Source organism: Homo sapiens, chromosome 17 (assembly GCF_000001405.40).
Source record: "Homo sapiens chromosome 17, GRCh38.p14 Primary Assembly".
Classification (NCBI taxonomy): Eukaryota; Metazoa; Chordata; class Mammalia; order Primates; family Hominidae; genus Homo; species Homo sapiens.
Genome location: NC_000017.11, coordinates 30882832 through 30898829, shown reverse-complemented (window position 1 = coordinate 30898829; position 15998 = coordinate 30882832). Strand labels below are relative to the sequence as shown.

The following is a 15998-nucleotide window of genomic DNA, read 5'->3' as shown; positions in this document are numbered from 1 at the left end:
TTTTAAACATTTTTCATTAAAAAAAAGAAACAGTAAGATGCCAAATTGACAAAACAAGAAACAAAGTTATCTCCCTTTAAAAGCAAATACTATCTATACTAAACATTTGCATTATTATCATATTGTTAAAATAGGGAATAATGGTTTTCCTAGGTGGTACTTATTATAAGAATAAAGCTGGCCACGCATGGTGGCTCACGCCTGTAATCCCAGCACTTTGGGAGGCTGAGGCGGGTGGATCACCTGAAGTCAGGAGTTTTGAGACTGGCCTGACCAAAGTGGAGAAACCCTGTCTCTACTAAAAAAAAAATACAGAATTAGCCGGGTGTGGTGGCGCATGCCTGTAGCCCCAGCTACTCAGGAGGCTGAGACAGGAGAATCGCTTGAACTGGGTGGCAGTGAGCCGAGATCGTGCCATTGCACTCCAGCCAGGGCAACAAGAGCAAAACTCCGTCTCAAAAAGAAAGAATAAAGCTAAAGATAACTGATAATACAGCTTATAGAATCGTCCTCTCTTAGAGGACGATTGTGTGTGTAGAATGTGGTTTGCTACACTGCCTCCAAAAGCTGATTTTCTTTTTTTGAGACAGGGTCTCACTCTGTCACACAGGCTAGAGTGCAATGGCACAATCACAGTTCACTGCAGCACCTCCTGGCCTCAAGCAATCCTCCTGCCTCTATCTCTTGAATAGCTAGGACTACAGGCACATGCCACCATACCCGGCTAATTTATTTTTTGTAGAGACAGGGTCTTACCTTGTTGCCCAGGCTGGGCTCAAATTCCTGGCCTCAAGCAATCCTCCTGCCTCAGCCTCCCAAAGTGCTGGGATTACTGGTGTGAGCCACCATACCCAGCCCCAAAAGATGACTTTCATCAGCTCAACTCTTATTACCCAAAAACAAACAAACAAGCTTTGTCTAATAGGCTCTTTTTTTTTTTCTTTTCTTTTTTTTTGGAGACCTAGTCTGGCTCTGTTGCCCAGGCTGGAGTACAGTGGCATGATCTCGGCTCACTACAACCTCTGCCTCCTGGGTTCAAGCAATTCTCCTGTCTCAGCCTCCCAAGTAGCTGGGACTACAGACAGGCATGCACCACCATGCCCGGCTAATTTTTGTATTTTTAGTAGAGACGGGATTTCATTATATTGGCCAGGCTAGTCTCGAACTCCTGACCTTGTGATCCTCCTGCCTCGGCCTCCCAAAGTGTTGGGATTACAGGCATGAGCCACCGTGCCCAGCAGGCTCATTTTTTAACTTTGCAATATTTTAACTTGACAGACCATCGTTTGATGTCCATTTTACCACTGTCTACATTAGTTGAGGTCCTCAATATATCTTCTTTATGAACCTAAGTCTCTTTGATGTCAAAGTATTAAATATCATTGGTGCATGCCTGCCAGCTACTTGGAAGGCTGAGGTGGGAGGATCACTTGAGCCCAGGATTTGAAGCCAGACTGGGCAATGTAGCAAGTCCCCATGTCTTAAAAAAAAAAAGTATTAAATATTTTCTGTAACATAAACATTTTCTATAATCTAAAAGTGAAATATATTTGTTGAAAAAACTTCAAATAATCTGAAACATAAAGCAAGAAATTGAAGCCCTCCCTTCTCTAGCACCTCCAACTCCCTAGAGTTGGTATACACTCTAGACCTGTTGCCACACACAAATAAAGTTTCTACATTTACATATGTCATTGTGTACCTAAACATCTCCACTTTGGAAATATAGATACCTCAAACTATGCATGTCTAAAAAGGAAATCATTCTCTTTCCATCCAAACCATCTCCTTTGCCACTGTTTTCTATTTTAATAGTTTCTCCAACTACCTAGTTGTTCATAACGGAAACATGGCATTATCACAAAAGTGAATCTAAATCTTACAGGAATTTACTATCATCTTTAAGAATGAAAAGGGCTGGGCGCAGTGGCTCACGCTTGTCATCTCAGTACTTTGGGAGGCCAAGGCGGGTGGATCACCTGAGGTCAGAAGTTCAAGACCAACCTGGCCAACATGGACAAGCCCTGTCTCTACTAAAAATACAAAATTAGCTGAGCGTGGTGGCACATGTCTGTAATCTCAGCTATTCAGGAGGCTGAGGCAGGAGAATCGCTTAAACCTGTGAGGTGAAAGTTGCAGTGAGCCGAGATCATGCCACTGCACTCCTGCCTGGACAACAAGAGCGAAACTCAATCTCAAACAAACAAACATAAATGAAAAGGCTGGGTGCAGTGGCTCACACCCGTAATCCCAATGCTTTGGGAGGCCAAGGAAGGAGGATCACTTGAGCTCAGGAGTTTGAGGCTATGGTGAACTATGATTGTGCCATTGCACTCCAACCTGGGCAACAAGAGTGAGATCAAGAGTGAGACCTCTTAAAAAAAAAAAAAAGATAAAGATTTTTTCCCTGAATTATTATAAACCTAAAAATAAATAAAATATTAAATGTGTCCATATTAGGGAGGAAAATACTCCCATTATTTTCTTTTTTTTTTTAAGAGGAGAAAAAAAGAACAGTATTTTAAAAATATTTTTTAAAATACTTCAGGCTGGGCACAGTGGCTTATGCCTGTAATCCCAGCACTTTGGGAGGCCAAGGCAGGCAGATCACCTGAGGTCGGGAGTTGGAGACCAGCCTGACCAACATGGAGAAACCCTGTCTCTACTAAAAATACAAAATTAGCTGGGCATGGTGGCGGGTGCCTGTAATCCCAGCTACTTGGGAGGCTGAGGCAGGAGAATCGCTTGAACCTGGGAGGCGAAGGTTGTGGTAAGCCGAGAGCACATCATTACACTCCAGCCTGGACAATCAGAGTGAAACTCTGTCTCAAAAAAAAAAAAAAAAAAAAACTTCAGAAGATCTTATTCTCTCTTCTGTACAGGGATGAAATCTTTAAGTTATATCCTATATTCAAACCCATACAATATACATATTTATCAAGATGATTACATCTGAACTCTTTTTTAAACATTTCATAAAGCCTTTAGCTTTAACCTTTAATTAGATCAATATACTAATTAATACAAGAAAAAGTAAATTGAACAAATAAGAGGTAAAAATATCTATCTTCATACACATTTGTAAACAGGTATGCATCTATACTGTTCAAAACTGTACAATATAGGCCAGGTGAGGTGGCTCACGCCTGTGATCCCAGCACTTTGGGAGGCCGAGGCAGATGGATCACTTGAGGTCAGGAGTTAAGAGACCAGCCTAACCAACATGGTAAAACCCTGTCTCTTCTAAAAATACAAAAATTAGCTGGGCAAGGTGGCACATGCCTGTAATCCCAGCTATTCAGGAGGCTGAGGCAGGATAATCGCTTGAACCCGGGAGGCAAAAGTTGCACTGAGCCGATACCAGGCCACTGCACTCCAGCCTGGGTGACAGAGCAAGATTCCGTCTCAAAAAAAAAAAAAAAAAGCACACAAAAAAAACTGTACAATATGAGGATCCTTAACTTTTAGGTTAAAAATATAATTCACCAGATAATGTTTTTGTTTTTGTAAAGCCAGTCAAATTTAGCAGTGGGAGATTGTATACCAACTTTAGTGACACTAATGTTAGCAGCCAAGATAATGTATCTGAATATTAAGCTAATATATAATATAAACACTTGAAATAGGGAGTTCATCTTAATGAACTCTACCTTCCAGAAACAGTTCACTCACATACAAAAAATACTCCAACAAAGCTAAATCAGATAATACAAAAAATTCAGAAAAAAAATTACAATCATATATAAAATTTGTAACTCAAATATTTTAAATATTTACCCGCCAATAAAAAAATATACAAATTGTTTGTTTAAAATGTACATCGAGAAATATACTTTTCCATGAAGATCCACATAATATAAAAATGTATCTTAAGGACCACATGATAATCTATACAAAGCATTGTTAGTATGGAACATTAAGGGAAGTCAGCTGCCAAAGTATTCACAGTCTCTTTTGGAATGTCAAGATGAATTCCTTCAAAATAGTGCAGGAATCTGTCAAAATTACAAAGAAAAATACAATTTAATATTAACATTTTCATCTTATGAAAATATGTATTAATCTTGAAAAAGCTATCTAAAATGTTGTTTTTAATAAAGCCTTTACCTTCTTTTACTTTTTCCTTGTTCTTTTAGCTTCTCAGTCTTACAGATGTTTCGAAGGGTTGGCAGGTATTCAATTATACTAGCTTGTCTATTACCCACATAGAGAAGAGATCGACTCGAAAATACACTTTTAATGACTGATATCCTCTTCCAAGCATTGCTGTAAAAGTAATGCATTGTTTTTAATTTTTAATGCCCAAGAAAAATGCAGTAATCCCAATCACAACCAGTTTAGTTTCCTTGCCTCTGGTCTAGACCAGATGACATTTCCAGATTAATTTCCTGTCAACACATCAATCACTCCCATACTGAAAAAATCTCAATAACTATACAGCAAGACCAAACTCCTTCCTGGGTCATTCAAGCATTACCTAAATCCACCCCAATCACTCATTATTTCTCTTCCCAGCGATCAAGCTGGTCTCTTTAGCTATCTCATTAGAAGCTACATTATTAATGTTAAGGGCTTACCATGATCAATAGTACAGCATTTTTAAATTAAGAAAAAACTCTATTGATTTCCCCTTTACGATTTATTACCAAAAAATAAAAAGTAAAGGAAGTAAGACTTACTCTAAATTAGCTGCTGACTGACTAAAGTATACATTATTGCGCTTTTGTGAAACATAAAAAGTAAGATCGTTGGTTGGATCTCTTCCTAATTTCTTGCAAGAATTCAAGGTTTCCAATGCTTTTGAAATAGCAGAAGAACATTTAGTAAAGCTGAGAGCTTCTGCAGCTGCCTTTAATTCTCCAGAGCTTTGAGAAGTCCATCCATCATTACTCTCAAGACTAAACTCATCACAAAGTCCACTTGTAACCTTTCCATTTGTCCAACTAAAGTCATTTCTACCGTATTTGTTTTGTTCCCTTACATCAGTTAAAAGTGCATCTAAGAAGGACATGTTATCCATGAACTCAGAGAGAGAATTTAAACAATGAGAAACAAGGGCAGAACATTTTTTTCCTGCAGTTGTTTTAGGAGGACAAGGAATAGATTTCTTTGTCTCTGGATTGTTTCCTTTGTCTCTGGCTTTGCTTTCTTCGTCTCCGGTTTTGCTTTCTTCTGCATTTGAGGAAGATGATACAGAGGACAGGCTAATAGATTGATCAGGAAAGTCCAAGTCAGTGTCAAATAGATCACTATCATCTAATATTACCAATGTTTTCTTTTGTTTCTTTTTCTGGGACTTTTTCAATGGCTGTTCTCTTTCAGAGTGTTTCCTAGCAAGACAATTCATACTTTTTGTTGCTGCACTGGCATCCACAGTTACTGATGGGCCACAAAAGTTTTTAGTTTCTGGAATGGTATCAACTGGTAATGGTAGAATAAACTCAAGATTACTATATAAAAAATCTACATTCCGCATTTGGAATTCTGTAAGAAGCTGGATGAATTTATGCCATTCTTCCTTCATTGTGATTTTGTGCTGAAAAACAATTTTGAGTAAAGAAATGTTACAGCAGTACATAGTTTGAATACTTTTCTACCTGTATGAATATAGTGTTATCCCTATTCTAAATTCAAAGTACTGAGTCACTACCCCTCATAATTTTATTTATCTATATTTAATATATCAAAATAGTACTATGTCTAAAAATTAAATTTAGACGATTAATTTGGAGAATTAAATTCTCTATGTATTTAGTATATACTCCAATATTATTAGAAGCTCATTTATTTAAAACCACTTTTCTGAAATAGTCTATCTGAAAAATTTTCTAAATGCTATTCTAAATCCTATAATATGCATTCAGAGCAATGCCTATGCACCATTTGTCAAAGTGGTAGGATGTGTTAAAATCAGAGACCTAAGGCTTATACAAATTATAGGCACATTTAAGTTAAACTTAAGATTCAAAAGATAGGAGGCTAATGTTGGGAATATGAAAAGGAATATAAATTCAACATTGCAAAACAGACATTGAAAATACCTTTAAAAATGAAAATAAGTCTTCAGATGGGGAAAAAATGTTCTTAAGGCCAAACAAGGTCTCAGCACAGCCACTGTCACATTTTGGAAGGTCTACACGTTTCTTTTTAGTATTTTTAGGGTAAATTTTGTTATCAAGGCCATGTTCAGAGCAAACTAGTTGTACATTTCTGCTATTTCCACCTACAAAATAAAAGAAAATCTTAGCTCTATATATGTATTAAACAAATTGTATCAAACAATTATTTAAAGCCTGAGATCCTTTGACATCTTCTGGACAAATACCCCCATTTAGTTCTCTACATATGTGTTTAATTCATTAAGAGTACAATATAAGCATTATTCTTTTTTTTTTTTTTTTTTTAAAGACAGAGTATCACTCTATCACCCAGGCTGAATTGCAGTGGTGCAATTTCAGCTCACTGAAACCTCCACCTCCTGGGTTCAAGCGATTTTCCTGCCTCAGCCTCCCGAGTAGCCGGGATTACAGGCACGCGCTACCACACCCGGCTACTTTTTGTATTTTTAGTAGAGACAGGGTTTCACCATGTTGGCCAGGCTGATCTCGAACTCTTGACCTCGAGTGATCCACCCCCCTCGACCTCCCAAAGTGCTGGGATTACATGCGTGAGCCACTGCGCCTGGCCATAAGCATTATTTCTACCAAGAGATAAATTAAGTGAGGTGATGGTGGGGGACTTTCAAAGCCATCCAACAGAAAAAGTGCAAGGACTGTGAGCAGGCAAGTCACAGAAGAAAAATAAATACCTAATATTAATTTCAGGCCAGGTGAGGTGGCTCACGCCTGTAATCCCAGCACTTTGGGAGGCTGAGGCAGGTGGATCACTTGAGTTCAGGAGTTCGAGACCATCCTGGGCAAGTTCGAGACCATCCTGGGCAACATGGTGAAACCTTGTCTCTATTCAAAATACAAAAATTAGCCAGGCGTGGTGACGCATGCCTGTAGCCCCCGCTATTAGGGAGGCTGAAGCAGGAGAATAGCTTGAACCTGGGAGGCGGAGGTTGCAGTGAGCCGAGATCACGCCACTGCACTCCAGCCTCGGCAACAGAGCGAGACTCCAACTCAAAGGGGGAAGAAAAAAGAAACAGTAATTTCAGCCGGGTGCAGTGGCTCACACCTGTAATCCCAGCACTTTGGGAGGCCGAGGCGGGTGGATCACCTGAGGTCAGGAGTTCGAGACCAGCCTGGCCAATATGGCAAAACCCCATCTCTACTAAAAATATAAAAAATTAGCTGGGCATAGTGGTGCGTGCCTGTAATCCCAGCTACTTGGGAGGCTGAGGCAGGAGAATCACTTGAACCCGGGAGGCAGAGGCTGCAGTGAACTAAGATCACGCCACTGTACTCTGGCCTGGGCGACTGAGTGAGGCTCCGTCTCAAATAATAATAATAATTTCAAAGACCTAATAAAAAGATATGCAATTTCACCACTAAGCATGGAAATGTAATTTTAAAATAAGATACTGTACATGTTTCACTTTTTAAATTGGCAAAATTAAAAGAATTATAATGTAGTTCTGTCAGCAGTACACATAAAAAAACCATCATATACTATTCATGGGAGCATAAGTTGGTACAATTATCATCAGAGGGCAGTCTGACAACAACTATCAAAATGTAAAGTATATACACCGTTTGTGACCCAGCAGTCATACTTCTAGAATTCTCTCCATCAATATTACAGACATTTTCAAGGATATATGTATAAAGATATTCACTGTATTTTAATGACAAATTGAAGATAATGTAAATGTCTGTAAGTAACGGTTAAATTACGGTACATCCATTCTATTCTATAGAAAAGCATGCAGCTGTGAAAGACAGTGGGATAGGATCGTATGTGCTAACAATAAACTTAAAAATAACAACATATATAATACTGGTTAATTTTGCTAAATAAGTATGTATCTTTATGTTACATGCATAAAGGTCTAACTGTGGCTACTTTCAAGAAGTAGGGGAATATTGTTTTATGTATCTGTTTTTTTTTTAAGGGCAGGGATGAAATGTATATAAAAAAAGATTTTTAAGAAGAGAAACTGGCCCCAGCCAAGTGCTGTGGCTCATGCCTGTAATCCCAGCACTTTGGGAGGCTGAGGCAGGCGGATCACAAGGTCAGGAGATCGGGACCATCCTGGCTAACTCAGTGAAACCCTGTCTCTACTAAAAATGCAAAAAATTAGCTGGGTGTGGTGGTACACGCCTGTAGACCCAATTACTTGGGAGGCTGAGGCAGGAGAATCCCTTGAACCCAGGAGGCAGAGGTTGCAGCAAACCGAGATCGTGCCACTGCACTCCAGCCTGGGTGACAGAGCCAGATTCCATCTCAAAAAAAAAAAAAAAAAAAAAGAAAAGAAGAGAAATTATGCTGTACTTATTTTGTTATTTTGTGTCTTCTAAAGTTTCTTGCTGTAACAATTTATATCTAGTGGTATATCAAAAAGTTATTAACTAATTTGTTACACCAGGATATTTTCCATGTGTTATGTATTATATTTACTTTTGAGAAATGGTTAAAGCTATGGGCTTACACTGAATAGAATATATAGGCATATCTACTTTGAAAAAGAATAATATGAAGCTGGGTGAGGTGGCTCATGCCTATAATCCCAGCACTTTGGGAGCCCAAGAGGGGCGGATCACTTGAGCCCAGGAGTTCAATACCAGGCTGGGCAACATAGTGAGATCCCCGTCTCTACAAAAAATTAAAAAAGTTAGCTGTGGTGGTGCACGCCTGTGGTTCCAGCTACTCAGGAGGCTCAGGGCGGAAGACGGCTCGAGTCCAGGAGATTAAGCTGGAGTGAGCCATGCTGCACTGCCACTGCACTCCAGCCTGGGCAACAGAATGAGACACTGTCTCAAAAAAAAAAAAAAAAAAAAAGAAAGAAAAGAAAAGAAAAAAGAAAAAGAATACGTTAAAATGTTAAACTCATTAGAAGAAAAAACTGATAAGGATAAATATTACATAATTTCACCTTGGTTTCCTTGAAATATTTGTGTATTTACCAGAATAGGATCTGTAACTACAAAACCGTGACTATGGAGCATGGAAACCAAACTAAAACTTCTTCAGGCAAGGAACCATGTCTTAACCATGTAAACACAAGACCTGGCATGGAGAAGGTACTCACTTGAATTAGGTAACAATGATGACTGAAAAAAAATAAGAAATAAAAGCATTTCTGAAATAATAAAGTATTTAGGAAAGACAGAATTTAAAGACTCCTGAAGCTAAAAGTGATTGTACGTTATAGTTACATAAGAATACTATATACCTATATATATATATACTCATATAGAAAAATTAATGTTTTTAGTAAGTGAAAAAGTTGTTAAATAATAATTATAGTATCATTTGTTTATAAGTACTATGTTATAAGTACTTATATATGTTAATACATGTATAAGTAACAGTTTGAAAATTTAAGAGTCAAATTTCTGGGGAGGAAGCTGAACACAGTGGCCTTCTCAGGAGGCTAGGACAGGAGTATCGCTTGAGCCCAGGAGTTCAGGGCTGTGCATTATGATCCTGCCCATGAAGAGTCACTATACTCCAGCCTGGGCAATATAGCGAGACCCTACCTCAAAAAAAAAAAAAAAAGAAAGAAAAGAAAAACTTTTGAAGAGGAAAGGGGGAACAGGGTGGGAGGTTTTTTGTGTTTGTTTTTTAATTTGTGTGTGTGTTTTTTAATTTTTTTTTTTTTTTTTGAGACAGAGTCTCACTCTGTCGCCCAGGTTGGAATGCAGTGGTGCGATCTTGGCTCACTGCAGCCTCCGCCTCCTGGGTTCAAGCAATTCTCCTGCCTCAGCCTCCCGAGTAGCTACAGGCATGTGCCGCCACACCCGGCTAATGTCTGTATTTTTAGTAGAGATGGGGTTTCACCATGTTGGCCAGGAAGGTCTTGATCTCCTGACCTCATGATCTAACCGCCTCGGCCTTCCAAAGTGCTGGGATTACAGGCGTGAGCCACTGCACCCAGCCTGTGTGTGTTTTTTTAAAATTAAACAATGAGATCATCTTAAAAGCTCAACTACAAAAGAATAAGTAACTTATAGATTAGTTCAGATCTCTCCTTTTTTAGGTGAAAAAACAGGCTCAAAAAGGTAAAGTGAATTTTGGAGCTTATATATTAATTGTAAAGAGTAGCATAGCCAGGAAAAAAATCCAACTTTCTAGATCCAGTTTAATTCTATTTACTCACATTGACTGCAAAAATTTTTTTTTAGTCAGAGTCTCACTCTGTCACCCAGGCTGGAGTGCAGTGGCGTGATCTTGGCTCACTGCAGCCTCGATCTCCCAGATTCTAGTGATCCTCATATCTCTGCCTCCCAAGTAGCTAGGACCACAGACACGCACCACCATGCCCAGCCAATTTTTTGTAGAGATGGGGTTTCGCCATGTTGCCCAGGCTGGTCTCAAACTCCTGAGCTCAAGGAATCCATGCCCCTTGGCCTCCCAAAGTGCTGAGATTACAGTTGTGAGACACTGTGCCAGGCCAAAATGTTTTATGAACAAAGTTGACATGTGCATATTTATTTTGAAGATTAATATAACAAGTTGCTTAAAATTTTTATAATCTTTCAACTATTCTAGCATAGCACAGAGTTTTTTTAATTAAAAAAAATTTTTTTTTGGGCCAAGTACGGTGGCTCACGCCTCTAATCCCAGTACTTTGGGAGGCCGAGGCAAGTGGATCATGAGGTCAGGAGTTCGAGACCAGCCTAGCCAACATAATGAAACCCCATCTCTACTAAAAAGACAAAAAAAATTAGCTGGGCGTGATGGTGGGGGCCTGTAATCCCAGCTACTCGGGAGGCTGAGGCAGGAGAATTGCTTGAACCTGGGAGACAGAGGTTGCAATGAGCCGAGATCGCACCACTGCACTCTAGCCCAGGCAACAGTGCGAGACTCCATCTCAAAAAATATAAATAAATAATTTTTTCTTTTTTTAGAGATAGGGTATTGCTCTATTGTCTGGGCCGGAGTGCAGTGGCATAATCATAGCTCACTGCAGCCTCAAACTCTTCGGGGATCATGTGATCCTCCTACCTCAGCCTCCCGGGTAGCCAGTATTACAGGCACATGCCACCCTGCGCAGCTAATTTTTGCAAATTTTTTTTGTAGAGACAGGGGTCTCGCTTTCTTGCGCAGGCTGGTTTTGAACTCCTGGCTTCAAGTGATCCTCCCACCTTGGCCTCCCATAAATTTTCTTGTAGAGACAGGGGTCTCACTATGTTCAGCAGACTGATCTGGACCTCCTGGCCTCAAGAGATCCTCCCACCTCACTCCCCCAAAGTGCTGGGATTACAGGCATGAGCCACTGCACCCAGCCATAGCACAGATTTTTAAATAGGGTCCCATAATAGAAATTTCTTTAATAACAAATCAACTTACGATAAAGGGTTAATGGTCGTTCTTCTAAAACTCCACCTCCACTTCTAATCCAGAATTGTAAGTAAAGGATACTTTTTCTGATATCACAAGTATTTGCAGTTAACAAGGTTACAAAGTCTTTTACATCAGTTCTAAAATTCTCAGTTAAGCAAATCATTTGTAGGTAGCTGGCAACATTTAGCTTCAAAACAGAGAGAGAAATGTGGTTAACTGCTGAGTTCAAATAGATACAGCAATAATACATACAAATAGTATCTAAAAGTGAGACAAATTTTGCTAAAATTCACATTATCTTAAATGCTCTTCTTGAGGATGAAACTGCTTTAAAAATATAAGGGAATATACCATTAAATTAAAAGCATTTACATGTATTTCTTTTATTAACTGTATATTGTGCAAGACAGCAAGGAAACTTTTATAGGAGATTCTCCAACCTGAACACTGAAGGCAGTTTTATAAACCTTGATAAAACCCCTTAGGATTAAGTAACAGTATAGCTTGATAGAATATCTTACAACAAAATTATAAATATGAATACTATAACACTGAAAAATACACAATTTTTTAAAAACCAGGTTAGAAATTGCACTAATTAGTGCATAAAGCTAATTAATTTTTTTTTTTTTGGTAGAGATCAGGGTCTCACTATATTGCCCAGGCTGGTCTCAAACTCCTGGCATCAAGCAGTCTTCCTGCCTTAGCCTTCCAAAGTGCTAGGATTATAGGCATGACCCACTGTGCCTGGCCAAGAAATTGAGAGAGGCTGAGGCAAGGGGATCACCTGAGGTCAGGAGTTTGAGACCAGCCTGCCCAACATGGTGATACCCCATCTCTAATCCCAGCTACTCGGGAGGCTGAAGCAGGAGAATCGCTTGAACCTGGGAGGTGGAGGTTACAGTGAACCAAGATCACACCATTGCACTCCAGCCTCGGCGATGGAGCAAGACTCTGTCTCGAAAATAAATAAATAAATAAATAAATAAATAAATAAATAAATAAAATAATTCAATTTATCAAAGATTTTCCCACAAAGAAAACTCATAAATTCACTGATGAAGTATATCAAATACCAAAAAATAAAGAATATCAACCCTATACAAACTCTTAGAAAAAAGAGAAGGAAACATTTCTCAACTCTTTTTGAGGGCAGCTTAACCTTAATACTTAAAGCTAACAAAGACAATTCTTAAAAAAAAAAAAGAAAAAAGTTACAAAGTAGTATTCCTCAAGAAAATAAACATATAAATCCTTAATAAATTAATCACAAATCTAATCCATCAATATATAAAGTGGATAATACATCATGACCAAGGGGGGTTTATCATTAGAAAATCAGTCAGTATAATTCACCATAGAGATAGATAAAAGTAGAAAAATATGATTTCAACACATGCAAAAGAAGCTGTTGATAAAATCCAACACCTACTCTTGATAAAAATTCTAAGAAAATTGGAATAGCCTGGGGGCCAAGGCTCACGCATGTAATCCCAGCACTTTGAGAGGGCGAGGCGGGAGTTCAAGACCAGCCTGACCAACATGGCAAAACCCCATCTCTACTAAAAATACAAAAAATTAGCCAGGCATGGTGGCACTTGCCTATAATCCCAGCTACTCGGGAGGCTGAGACAGGAGAATCACTCAAACCCGGGAGGTGGAGGTTGCAGTGAGCCGAAATTGCCCCACTGCACTCCAGCCTGGGCGACAAGAGCGAACTCCATCTCAACCAAAAAAAAAAAAAAAAAAAAAAAAGAAAGTTGGAATAAAAGAAATTTCCTTAATCTGATAAAAAGAAGGTATGAAAAGCCTATAGCTAACTTTGTATTCAACAGTAAAATAGTAAACACTTTCCATCTAAGATCAAGTACAAGCTAAGGATATCCATTGTTACCACTTCTACTTAACATATTGAAGGTCCTACCCAATGAAATAAGGCAACAAAAAGAAATAAAAGGCAGAAAAAACAAAGGAAAGAAAACTATCTCTGTTCGCAGATAACATGATTGAGTACACAGAAAAACCTAAGAAACTGACAGTTGTGGTGGCTCATGCTTGTAATCCCAGCACTTTGGGAGGCCAAGGTTGGGGGATCACCTGAAGCTAGGAGTTTGAAGTTACAGTGAGTTATGATCACACCACTGCCCTCCAACCTAGGTGACAGAGAGACCCTGTTTCTAATAAAAATTTAAAAAATAGAAAAAAAGCAAAGAAAAACCTAAGAAACCAACAAAATAACTACTATAACTAATAAGAGAATTTAGCAACGACAAAGGAAAAGAACATCTAGAATCTACAGCAGTACTGTCCATTAGAAATATAAGGCAAAGGCAGCTGGGCACGGTGGCTCACGCCTGTAATCCCAGCACTCTGGGAGGCAAAGGCGGGTGGATCACAAGGTCAGGAGATCCAGACCATCCTGGCTAACACAGTGAAACCCCGTCTCTACTAAAAATACAAAAAATTAGCCAGGCGTGGTGGTGGGCGCCTGTAGTCCCAGCTACTCGGGAGGCTGAGGCAGGAGAATGGCGTGAACCCAGGAGGCGGAGCTTGCAGTGAGCCGAGATTGCACCACTGCACTCCAGCCTGGGCGACACAGCAAGACTCTGTCTCAAAAAAAAAAAAAAAAGAAAAAGAAATATAAGGAAAGGGGCAGGTGCGGTGGCTCACGTCTGTAATCCCAGCATTTTGGGAGGCCGAGGCGGGCAGATCACTTGAGGTCAGGAGTTCGAGACAAGCCTGGCCAACATGGTGAAACCCCATATCTACTAAAAATACAAAAATTAGCAGGGCATGGTGGCACGTGCCTGTAGTCCCAGCTACTCGGGAGGCTGAGGCAAGAGAATTGCTTGAAACCGGGAGGCAGAGGTTGCAGTGAGCTGAGATCGTGCCACTGCACTCCAGCCCAGGTGACAGAGCAAGACTACATCTCAAAAAAAAAAAAAAAAAAAAAAGAAAAGAAAAGAAATATAATGCAAGTAAAACACTGTAAGCTATATACATACTACGACTTAGATGAACCTTGAGGATGTTATGCTAAGTGAAATAAGCCAGTCACAGCCTGGCGCGATGGCTCATGCCTGTAATCCCAGCACTTTGGGAGGCTGAGGCAGGAGAATTGCTTGAAACCAAAGGCAGAGGTTGCATGACTAAGATCGTGCCACTGCACTCCAGCCTGGCAACAGAGGGAGACTCCATCTCAAAAAAAAAAAAGCCGGTCACAACAAGCCAAATCAGTATGATTCCATTTATATCTAGCATAGTCAAATTCATATAAACAAAGTAGAATGGTAGTTGCCAGCAACTACTGGACAGGAGGAAACAGGGAGTTTCATTTAACAAGCGTAGAATTTCAGTTTTGCAAGAGCAATGTGAATATACTTAACACTATTCAACTGTACACTGTTACGTGTTCTTTACCAAAAGCAAATTTTTTAATACAAAAATTTTAAAAACCAAGCCATATATGTAATTTAAATTGTCTAGGAGTCACATTAAAAAATTAAAGAAACAAGTAAAATTAATTTTAGGGCCAGATGCGGGGGCTCACACCTCTAATCCCAGCACTTTGGGAGGCCGAGACGGGCGGATCACGAGGTCAGGAGATCGAAACCATTCTGGCTAACATGGTGAAACCCCATCTCTACTAAAAAATACAAAAAATATTAGCCGGGCATGGTGGCAGGCGCCTGTAGTCCCAGCTACTCGGGAGGCTGAGGCAGGAGAATAGCATGAACCTGGGAGGTGGAGCTTGCAGTGAGCCAGTGATTGCGCCAGTGCACTCCAGCCTGGGCAACAGAGCGAGACTCCATCTCAAAAAATAATAATAATTAATTTTACTACATTTCTTTTACAACAATATATCCAAATATTGCAAAATGTAACCAATATAAAAATTAGTGAGATGTGTTACATTCCTATTTTTTGCACTGAGTCCTCAAAATCTGGTGTTAGCCAGGCACTGTGGCTCACGCATGTAATACCAGCACTTCGGGAGGCTGAGGCAGGAGTATTACTTGAGCTCAGGAATTCAGGACCAGTCTGGGCAATATAGTGAGACCTCATCTCTACAAAAAAATTTTTTTAATTAGCTGGGCGTGGTGGCACATGCCTATGGTCCTAGCTACTCAGGAGGCTGAGAGGGGAGGACTGCTTGAGCCCAGGAGGTAGAGGTTGCAGTGAGCTGAGACTGAGCCACTACACTCCAGCCTAGGAGATAGAGTGAGACCGTATCTCAAAAAAAAAAAAAAAAAATCTGGTGTTTATATTACACTTTAGCACAAAGTAGAGATGGGGTCTAGCCACATTTTAAAAATAGATAATAAGCCGTATTTAGATATAATTCATATACTATACAATTCACCCACTTAACATGTAAAATTCAATGGTTTTAGTATATTTATAGAGTTTTGCACCCATTACCACTATCTAATTACAGAGCATTTTCATCATCCCCAAAAGAAACCCCAGACCAATCAGCAGTCACTCCCTATTTCTACCTAGCTCCTCTAGCCTTAGGCAGCTATGAATCCACTTTCTGTCTCTAT

General features: G+C 39.5%; 1 protein-coding gene across 8 annotated transcripts in view; it reads right to left on the bottom strand.

Annotated features, from left to right (window-relative positions):
* Positions 1-2960: 2960 nt before the first annotated feature.
* Positions 2961-15998, bottom strand: part of ATAD5 (ATPase family AAA domain containing 5) — a 63904-nt gene continuing 50866 nt past the window's right edge. For 5 of the 8 annotated variants that reach the window (XM_011525269.4, XM_011525270.4, NM_024857.5 and 2 more), the window contains 5 exons: positions 11458-11638; positions 6042-6223; positions 4680-5536; positions 4108-4266; positions 2961-3995 (listed from right to left, as the gene is read on the bottom strand). In XM_011525269.4, coding sequence (XP_011523571.1) covers positions 3917-3995; positions 4108-4266; positions 4680-5536; positions 6042-6223; positions 11458-11638 — 1458 coding nt within the window. In that variant the 3' untranslated portion in view covers positions 2961-3916. Of the gene's footprint in view, positions 3996-4107; positions 4267-4679; positions 5537-6041; positions 6224-11457; positions 11639-15998 lie in introns of those variants that run through there. The other 3 variants (XM_047436783.1, XM_047436784.1, XM_047436782.1) reach the window with 2 other exon arrangements.